This window comes from Homo sapiens, chromosome 22 (genome assembly GCF_000001405.40).
Source record: "Homo sapiens chromosome 22, GRCh38.p14 Primary Assembly".
Taxonomy (NCBI): Eukaryota; Metazoa; Chordata; class Mammalia; order Primates; family Hominidae; genus Homo; species Homo sapiens.
Genome location: NC_000022.11, coordinates 36,748,984 through 36,757,294, shown reverse-complemented (window position 1 = coordinate 36,757,294; position 8,311 = coordinate 36,748,984). Strand labels below are relative to the sequence as shown.

Sequence of the window (8,311 nt, the reverse complement as noted above, 5' to 3'; positions counted from 1 at the left end):
CTACATGAGCTAAGCACATGTCATATATTCGCTAATTTAGTCCTTACAGTGCAGAGTCTTACCATCCCCCTTTTACAAATGAGGAGCTGGAGTCAGAGAATTAAGACACTTAGCCAAGGGGTGGCCGAGCCACGATCGTGGACGCCAGAGCCCGGCTCCCAGCCGCCGTCCTCTTCTGCCTCCTCCCGAGCTTGGCTGGGAGCAGGTGGGGGTTAGGCTGCCTCTCAAGGTCACTGTGAGAAGTGAAGTAACGGGTGTGCAGGGCATCTGGGCACACGGTGTCAGCCAAGGTCAGGCTCTCGCGTCCCCCTTCTTTTCCTGTTACTCAACATGAAGCCACTGTAGCGGCCGCGTCATGCCTTCAGCAAGTAGTTACCAAGGGCCTACCATTTGCCGGGCATTTTCCTAGGCACTAGCAACGCCAGGCTGCTGGTTTCGTGTCACATGTTCCAAAAGGGAAGGCTCACCATAACCAAGGGGATGCAGCGGGGACATTTCCGGTTGCCCCAGAATTGGTTACCAGGGCCACAGCTGTGGACAAAGATGCTAAATAAACCACCTCCTAAAGAGATCATGGAAGCTTAGGGCCAGCCCCCTTCCCCATGGCCCTAGTAGAGGCGGAAGAATTGGTCCTGCTGCTGTGAGCTCCCCTTCCCCCTACTCCCCACTCCTCCCTGTCTGTATAAGATTGGAATGGTCAAGAGAGATGGGAGTGAGGGTGGCCACTGTGTTGGTGAGTGGGTGCCCCCCCCATCACCCCCTTGCCCCGCCAAGGGAAGGAGGCCCAAGAGGATCCTCCTGAGACAGGATGCTGCCAGGAAGAGGGGGCTGGCACCACACCCCCAGCCGGATGCTCTCTGAGCTGCAGAAACCTGGTGCCAGCTGCAGCACAGGGTGGCGAGGGCACCCTTGGGAAGCTCAGCACACATCCCCAGAGCTGTTTGGTCCCCTCTGGGGGGCGTTCCATGGGGAGAGGCTTGGGGAGAAGCCTGCACCAGCAGTGGGAAAAGCAAGGACCGCGTCTGGAAGGGCGGCACGGGTGTTCCACGGAAGGCTCCTAGAAGGACCCACATGGAGTGGAGTCATGTGACCAGCCAGCCAGGTACTGACAAAGGGAGCTGTTTCCTACCTGGAAAAGGGCAGGGGGCCTCTTCCCCTGGCAGGGCTGGAGGGGAATGTGGCTGCCCCTTCCTGAGGAGACCCCAGCAACAGAGGAGGCTCAGCCCCAAAACAACCAAGTACCTCCCCCACCCCCTGCCACCACGGAGATAACAGATGGAACCAGACCCAGAGGAGGCCTGTGGAGAAGACACGCAGCTCCTCCCTGGCCCCTCTGTTCCAAGTTACTCCAGAGAGAGGAAGAAAAGATCTTGCTCCCCTCCCCACCCTTCTGGAAAAGAGATTTGAACAAACACTTTGGAAGCTTTGAGCTGGCCTGGCCTGCCTTTCAGTGACTAGGATGGTCTGAAACGTGTCGGGATCAGCCTGCTAGGAAGACCCAGCAGGAAGGGGACCTCTGCAGAGCTTGATGGAAAAAAGTAATTAGGAAAAAGTAAAATGGTTTTGTTTCAGAGCCCATGGATTCGAGATTCTCCAATAAACTGGTTCTACAAGTAAATAAATGATCAAGATAATTTGAGGCAGTGCAGATGACAAAACGGAGCTGAGATGGGTGTTGATTTGTGGGGTAACTGGTTTGGGGGGATAGGAAGGACTATGAGAAGAAGGGACATTTGCACTGAGATTCAGCAAGAAGGTCAGCAAGTGCAAAGGCCCTGAGGCACGAACAAGCTTGGAACATGGAGGAACTTAAGGCCGGTGAAGACATACCCTGGTGTGTGCCGGGGAAGGAGAGGAAGGTGAGATAGGGAGGGTCCACAGTGGGAGGAATTTCTATTTTATTCCAAAGGCAACAGGAAGCCAGAGGTGGATGGACATCAGAGCTTTTTTTTTTTTTTTTTTTTGAGAGTCTCGTTCTGTCACCCAGGCTGGAGTGCAATGGTGCAATCTTGGCTCACCGCACCTCTGCCTCCCAGGTTCAAGCAATTCTCCTGCCTCAGCCTTCCGAGTAGCTGGGATTACAGACATGCACCACCACGCCTGGCTAATTTTTGTATTTTTTAGTAGGGATGGGGTTTCTCTATGTTGGCCAGGCTGGTCTTGAACACCTGTCCTCAGGTGATCCACCCACCTCTGCCTCCCAAAATGCTGGGATTACGGGCGTAAGCCACCGCGCCCAGCCGGACATCAGAGATTTTACATCCTCACAGTGCCCAGCACTATTTGGGAACCTAACAAGTGGCTATTAATTACTTCACTTGCCTAAAGAACCCACTCTCAATGAGCAAACATTGACAAAATGCATGCTGCGTCTGCAGATTTTATTCCTGAAAGAAGGCATTTGCTGAATGAATGCTTGAATCAAGCAGTTGCTGAGCACCTACTATGTGCCAATCCCTGTTCTATATCTTGGGATTTTGTCAGTGAGTAACACAAAAATGCCTCCCCTCAGGGTGCTTACGTTCAAGGGGGGTGAGCGAGGTGTTTGATTGAATAGGTAAATTTTGCAGTCTGTTAGGTTGCAATAGAGCAGAGGCGTGCAGAGGACGTGCCAGGGTGGGGGCTGCAATATTAAACAGGGAAGTCGGGAAGACCTTCCTTGGAAGGTGATGTTTAAGCAGGATTTGAAGGTCATAGCACCTGGCACCCTCTAGGCATCATTGGCTCATCAGTGACCCCTCAGAGGTGGAGCTTGACCACTTTCTTTTCCTAGTGCCCAACGCTGGACCTCCGTAAAGTCCGATGAGTGTGGGAGGTGTGGATGGACACCAGAGATGCATACCCTGCCCTAGAATCACCTGCCATCCATAGAGGAGAAAAAGGAGCCGACTCTTGATTTCTAAACTCCAGTGGAACCCAAAAAGCGTTGATCTTTCAAATCCTGAGGGAGGTTAGAGGAACCGCCCCTCTGTCTCCTTTAGGATCTCCGAAGAAGGTTCTGTTTGTTGTCCTCCACGATTCTTGCCTTCTGTAAGAGCGGTTTGGCCTGGGACCTGGCCTCTTGTCCTCTTCCATGGCTCTGGGCTGGCCATTCCGCAGCATCTTTTAGAGCTGCCTCTTGACATCACCTGATTCAGCCAGAGAGGGCGGGGAAGCCGAGGTGACTGGGAGGGTGGACACACTGTGGGGCCGGTCGTGTTTGGGGTGGGTGTTCAGAAACAGTTGCCCAGTTCCAAAGCACTGCCTCTGTGACACCCAGGCCCTTCCCTGCCGCATCCATTCAGATGTGGATGGGGTAGGAGAAGCCCGCCAGGCAGGTTTCCCTGGACGGTGTTTCTGCTGTGAAAGGAGCCCTGTAGTTTTCCGTATCTGGGAAACATGCATTGGATAGACCATCTTCTGGAAGGAGAGATGGGGGCAAGAGGCAACCTGCTTCCATGTCTATAAATAAAATGCATTCATTTTGGTGCTAAAATGTTGTGGTTTTAAAAATGGAATACTAAAAACTTCCTGGCCCAAGCTGGAGTGGCAAGAAGCACAGATTCAGTTGATCCCAGGATGGGAACTGAAATTTACACTAAGCCACATCTACTGGACGATTGGTGCCCATCCTGGAGATGCAGAAGGAAGCCTTTGGTTTTGCACCTGTGCTTCCCATTCCAGCATTCATCTCTGTCCAGGGTCCTGCCCTGCATTGGAGATCAGGGAGGACTGAGGAGGTGGCCTGGAGGAGCTCCAGGTCTGCTGCCTAGGAAGGGTTTCCAGGACCTTGCAGGGAAATACCTGATGTTAGCCAGGGAAGAGAATTCCAGACAAAGGGAAGCATATGCAAAGGCCCTGAGGCATGAAGCTGGAGGCCCTCTTGGGGAACCGTGTGCGTTGTAGGGTTTGGGGAGAGACGGGTGCCCAGCAGGTGAGGTCAGAGACAAGGATGAAGCAAGAACATGGAGCTCTTTGTACCCAGAGCAGAGGAGTTGGACTTTCTCCAGAAGGGAGTGGAGAGCCATTATCAGAAGTGACTCACCTGGATTTTTGCTTTGGAAAGATCAGCCTGGAGGAATTGGAGGGTGGAGTGGGAGAGAAGGTGCCTGGAGGTAAGGAGACCAAGAGCTGATGGGGATGAGGGGTAAGGTAGGACAAGGCTTGCACCATCTCCAGCATTTGCAAAACTTGGGGAAATGTATTTTCAGCCCCTTAGAGTTGTCCTCATTTCACACACCCATCCTTTTTGTTCAGAACACCAATTGATTTTTAAAGTGTGTTATCCTTTATTTACTTTAGAGACAGAAAACACAGAGAGAGTGACTTCTCCGGGTTGCAAATTGTCAGTGATGGAGCCAGGATTAAGAACTCGGGCTGGCCAGCCCTCTGTGGATCGTATGATGTTTATGTATACGATGCCCATTCACTCTTCTGCCCTGCCAGCAAACAGAGCTGATGAATATGAGGAGAATGGCAGCGAAGAGCTTGTTTCCATTCTAAAAAGGCAAGAAGCCTAGGAAGGCTCATTAGGAGAAAATATTGAATGGGCAGCTTTCGAGTTTCACCTGTGATCTGAGAGGGAAAGTGTATTTTCACCGAAGCCATTATGTAACTGGTTCCGGGGGGCAGAGAGGAGTGACCAGAGAAGAGAATGAGGGCAAGAGACCAGGAGAGCAAAGACAGGGTCACCATCTAGAGGGCAGGGGCTACATCTGACATCCCCTGTAGACCCTCTGGATGCAGCCAAGGTTTAGAGGTTAGAGCACTGCTTTCATATCAGACGAGTGGAATTAGGATTGCAGCGGTGTGTCCTTGGACAAAGCACTGATCCTCTCTGGCCCTCAATTTTCTTGTTTATGAAATGGGAATAATACCACTAACCTTACCAGTTTTTGTGGGTGGATGGAGATATATAAAACCTACTTTTAGAAGGCATGATATATAGTAAACGTTCAGTGCTTTATAGGTGATTTCCAAATCATCTGTAGTAACTATGGCTTTTTTACAAGCATGGAAATAATGTGTGTTTATTTAAAAAAAAAAGAAACTATTACTAAAAAGCATAAAGAAGAAAGTAGAAAATATTCAAATCCTACCACTCAGAGATAGCCACCCATCACATCCAGGCATGTGCACCTCCTCCCTTTCTCCTCCACATGTACAAATATGTACATATTTTGAAGCCAAAAACAAAATGTGATAATGCCATATATGAAATTTGGAACTTATCTCTTTTCATTTAACAATATCTGGTGGGTATTATTTCAGGTCAGAAAATATGATTTTAGGCCAGGTGCAGTGGCTCACGACTGTAATCTCAACATTTTGGGAGGCTGAGGTGGGCGGATCACTTGAGGTCAGGAGTTCGAGACCAGCCTGGCCAACATGGTGAAACTCCATCTCTACTAAAAATATAAAAATTAGCTAGGCATGATGGTGGGCAGCTGTAATCCCAGCTACTCGGGAGGCTGAGGCAAGAGAATCTCTTGAACCCAGGATGGGGAGGTTACAGTGAGCGAGACTCTGTCTCAAATATATGTATCATATATATCACATATATATGATATATATATCATATATATGATATGTGATATATATGATATATATCATATATATGTGATATATGTGATATATATGATATATATCATATATGTGATATATATATGATATATATGATATATATATGATATATATGATATATATGACATATATGATATATATGATATATATGATATATATGTGACATATATGATATATATATGATATATATGTGATATACATCATATATATATCACATATATATCATATCATATATCACATATATATCATATCATATATCACATATATATCATATCATATATATCATATATAACATATATATCATATATATCATATATAACATATATATCATATGTATCATATATATCATATATATCATATGTATCATATATATCATATATATCATATATATCTCATATATCTCATATATATCATATATATCATATATAAATCATATATATCATATATATGATATATAAATCATATATGTATCATATATATCATATATGTATCATATATACATATATATGATACATATATGTATCATATATATGATGCATATATGTATCATGTATATCTCATATATATCATATATATCTCATATATATCATATCTCATATATCTCATATATCTCATATATATCATATATATGATCATATATGATCATATATGATATATATGATCATATATGATATATATATCCCATATATATCATATATATGATATATATGTGATTTTACATGGTCTTTTTATTTCTTTTTAAATCGTGAGAATTGTAAAACCTACACAAAAACAGAACAGCATGATGAACGCTCATTTACCTGACAGCCAGATTCGGAACTTCCAAGATCCTGCCGCACTTGCTCTGTCCTGCTCCCCTGCCATGATGGTGGTGGTTACGATCGTTTAAACCAAATGCCAGCCCTCCAGTCACTGCCTCTAAACCAACCACAAAGCCATTATCACACCACATAAAATTAATAGTAATTCTTTAGGAGCATCTACTGTTCAGTCCACAGTCAAATTTCCCTGATTTACTCCCAAAGGTTCTTTTGCAGTTGGTTTATTACGTGACCCACGCATAATGATTTCCAGTTGAAGGACACCAGGTTTCCAGGTGGTCACTCAGGAAAACAGCCAAGGACAGTGTCCCCTTGCACATATCTGTGGACCCCTGTCCAATTATTTCTGCAGGACATACATTCCTAGAAAGGGACATTCCAAGTCAAAGTCTACGTACTTTTTTAAAAAAGCTTTTAATAGCATTTGACAAATTGCCCTCCAGATAAATTGTACCAGTTTACACTCCTAGGAGTGGGGACTGGCACCCTGGACAGCTCTGGGTCGTTAATGAAAAGAAATTAGAGAGAGAGAAGGCAGGTGGAGAGAAAAAGAGAGAAGGAAGAGAGGGCTGGAGTGAGAGGGAGCAGAGTGACACTGCAGAGCTCTGGTGCCCCCTGGGTGCCAGCCTGCCCGAGCCAGAGAGGAGCTCAGAGAACCAAGGGTATCAACCAACCAGCGGCTGCACCAGATTAAGCCCTAAAGCAACGATTCAGTCGAGACCGAGAACAAAGCTGAAGCAAAGACTCTTCGATCCATTCTAATTAGGAGCTGCCTTTCCAGAGAAATCAAGAGCAGGCTGCCACGGCTGAAAGCAAAAAAAAGAAGGAAAAGAAAAAAACTGCTGCAACCCAGCTGTGCGCGAAGCTTGTCTGTTTTCTTAAAATCCCAAGAAAGAGCTGGTTCTACTGTGCTCACAGTCCAGGGGGACCCTGTTGTTCTGAGAGTTGTAGGATCCCACTAGGAGCAAAGATCTCTACCACCAAAGGTCAGGGTGCGTTCAGCACTGGGACCTCGCTAAGGACAGGGAGAGGGCGGGAAGGAGACCCATGTGTGGGAGCAATGACCTTGCTGTGGCGGCTGCTGCTGCATTGTTTGTTTTTTTTGTTTGTTTTTATTTTGTTTTGTTTTTATTTTTTTTGTTTTTGCTATAGCTAAAAACTAAAATTTATTTCAGGTTTGAGAAAAGCAAATAAAATTAAGATACATTTGAAGCATGGAACTACACACAAAAATGGAGAACAGGCTGGTTCTGGCCCTACAGCCTGTGCTGTTGGAGGTTCCCTCTTGGGTGGACGCCATGATGCATTGCTTACCTTCAATGTACCCTCTCCGGTTCACACTAGTATATTTATATGTTGATTACAAGTACCCAAAAAAGAACTAGTCCGTGGATAAAAATGACCTAATTTTCTTTTTCTTTTTTTTTGAGATGAAGTCTCATTCTTGTTGCCCAGGCTGGAGTGCAATGGCACAATCTCGGCTCACTGCAACCTCCACTTCCTGGGTTCAAGTGATTAGCCTGCCTCAGCCTCCCGAGTAGCTGGGATTACAGGTGCCTGCCACTACACCCGGATAATTTTTGTATTTTTAGTAGAGTTGGGGTTTCACCATATTGGCCAGGCTGGTCTCGAACTCCTGACCTCAGGTCATCCGCCCGCCTTGGCCTCCCAAAGTGCTGGGATTACAGGCGTGAGCCACTGCACCCGGCCCAAATGACCTAATTTTCAATTGACCAAGCCATTCCAACAGTAAGCATCAAATACTCTGAGATAAGGACTGTACTGAGTTCATAGTGCCAAGTCCAGAAATCCCCTGGTCACCATATCATTTATCAGATGGCATTTAAATTAAAAGCAGACAGTCAAAATATCACATATACCCCCCCAAAATATGTACAACTATGATATATCAATTAAAAAATTGTTTA

General features: G+C 45.9%; 1 long non-coding RNA gene across 1 annotated transcript in view; it reads right to left on the bottom strand.

Annotated features, from left to right (window-relative positions):
• The window catches only part of CACNG2-DT (CACNG2 divergent transcript), a 63,214-nt gene that overhangs the window by 9,795 nt on the left and 45,108 nt on the right, over positions 1-8,311 (bottom strand). The gene's annotated exons all lie outside the window — the stretch shown is intronic.